At 40.1% G+C, this 2,706-nt stretch overlaps 1 pseudogene; it reads left to right on the top strand.

Moving 5' to 3' along the window:
- Window positions 1,537-2,407, top strand: RPL7AP32 (ribosomal protein L7a pseudogene 32; annotated as a pseudogene).

A 2,706-nucleotide genomic window follows, 5' to 3' on the forward strand; every position in this document is an offset into this window, starting at 1 on the left:
ATACAAAAATGTCAAGTTTTCTGTTTATATCTCATTAATTTACATTTTTCAATTCACGACTAGACTTATTAGCCACTTTTTTTTTTTTTTTTTTTTTTGAGACAGAGTTTTGCTCTTGTTGCCCAGGCTGGAGCGCGGTGGCACAATCTTGGCTTACCGCAACCTCCGCCTCCCGGGTTCAAGTGATTGTCCTGCCTCACCCTCCTGAGTAGCTGGGATTACAGGCATGCTAATTTTTTTGTATTGTTAGTAGAGACGGGGTTTCATCATGTTGGCCAGGCTGGTCTTGAACTCCTGACCTCAGGTGATCCACCCACCTCAGCCTCCCAAAGTTCAGGGATTACAGGCGTGAGCCACTGCGCCCCAAAATAGCCATATTTTTGCCTATCATCATAACATTTCATAGTCGCCATGTAGAGAAATGGGATAAGTTTAAGCTAGAGAAAGCATTTGAAAACTGAGATGAATATCTTAGATGAATATATACATATAATTTTACTTAAAATTCTTTCACCACCACCTCCAAAATAAACCAAAGTTAACATTTTGGTCTTATATATATTTAAAGGGAGCACATTAAAATGTTCATTATATTTTATCTCTGGTTAATGAAAGTTTGTATACTCTTTATACATTTATACATAGTGTAAATTCTTTCAAGTGAGCATGTATTACTTTTTGGAATCAGAAAAAAATGTTATTTTTAAAGATAAAATTATTTTTATCAGAGTTCTTTTCGAACTGTGCAAAGAAGAAAGAAACATAAAATACTTGAGATTCCAGTAACATGAGAGATTACTTTTGAAACATTCTGAAATTATATTTTCTATTGGTTTTTAACAAGATTTACAACCTACTCAAAATGCAGTAGAGTGGGCACCACAAAGCAAATTTATTTGAAAGCACCAGAATCAGCACATGAATAGTCATGACATTCAGCAACATGTCCCTGTTGAAAAACAATTTTAGAATCTATAATGTTGGTTGTTGTACTAACAGGGTAAGCTGCATGTAGAATAAAATGAAAAACATCTTAAAAGTAGAGATTAAAGATGATTAGAGATTAAAAAAGAAAATATTTTAATGAAACTGCCGTTTGTAATGTTAATACTAATCACACTCAAATACAAACATGAACTTTGAAAATATCAGTAAATTCTTATATAGGGCTATTAAGAACATGAATTTTGGAATCAGATGGATTTTGAGTTTGAGTCCTCTTGGCCCAGCCATGTAGCACGGGATGTGTTATTTCAACACATCATCTCTGAGCCTCAGTCTCCCAGATTCTAAGATATGAATAATTATAGTACCTGAAGGATTTGTTGTAATAATTAAATGAAATATTTACTAAGCAAATGCTTAGTAAATGCACTCTTTACATATGAAAGATAGTTGTCAGTTTTCTGTTTCTTTTACTGATGTGAAAATTAGTTGCATTTTTTCTACTCCTTGTATTACCTTATAATCAGCTACTTAAGAGGAACTATAAAATGGAAAGGGAACATTAGACTATGTAAGAATTAGGGAAACTAGCTCTCTCTTCCACCGCCCAAGATGCCAAAAGGAAAAAAGGGGAAGAAGGTGGCTCCGGCCCCTGCTGTCATGACGAAGCAGGAGGCCAAGAAAGTGGTGAATCCCCTGTTTGAGAAAAGGCCTAAGAATTTTGGCATTGGACAGGACATCCAGCCCAAAAGAGACCTGACCTGCTTTGTGAAATGGCCCCGCTGTATCACGTTGCAGTGGCAGATAGCCATCCCCTATAAGCGGCTGAAAGTGCCTCCTGCGATTAACCAGTTCATTCAGGCTCTGAACCACCAAACAGCTACTCAGCTGCTTAAGCTGGCCCACAAGTACAGGCCAGAGATAAAGCAAGGAGAAGAAGCTGAGGCTGTTGGCCTGACTGAGAAGAAAGCTGCTGGCAAAGGGGATGTCCCCATTAAGAGACTACCTGGCCTTTGAGCAGGAGTTAAGACTGTCACACCTTGGTGGAGAACAAGAAAGCTCAGCTGCTAGTGATTGCACACAACGTGTGGCACACAACGTCTGGTTGTCTTCCTGCCTGCCCTGTGTTGTAAAATGGGGGTCCCTTACTACATTATGAAGGGGGAAGCAAAACTGGGACATCTAGTCCACAGGAAGACCTGGATCATTGTCACCTTCACACAGGTTAACGTGGAAGACAAAGGAGCTTTGGCTAAGCTGGTGGAAGCTATCAGGACCAATTACAACATATATGATGAGCTCCGCCATCACTGGGAAGGCAATGTCCTGGGTCCCAAGTCTGTGGCTCATATTGCCAAGCTTGAAAAGGCAAAGGCTAAAGAACTTGCCATCAAACTGGGTTGAATGTACACTGTTGAGTTTTCTGTACATAAAAATAATTAAAGTAATACAAATTTTCCTTTAAAAAAAAGAATTAGGGAAACTGACTTCAAATTTCTGAAATGTATTCTTTTTTTTTTTTTTTTTTTGAGACGGAGTCTCGCTCTGTCGCCCAGGCTGGAGTGCAGTGGCGCGATCTCGGCTCACTGCAAGCTCCGCCTCCCGGGTTCACGCCATTCTCCTGCCTCAGCCTCCCGCGTAGCTGGGACTACAGGCGCCCGCCACCACGCCCGGCTAATTTTTTTGTGTTTTTTTAGTAGAGACGGGGTTTCACTGTGTTAGCCAGGATGGTCTCGATCTCCTGACCTCGTGATCCTCCCG

The sequence above is a fragment of the Homo sapiens genome, chromosome 5 (genome assembly GCF_000001405.40).
Source record: "Homo sapiens chromosome 5, GRCh38.p14 Primary Assembly".
NCBI lineage: Eukaryota > Metazoa > Chordata > Mammalia > Primates > Hominidae > Homo > Homo sapiens.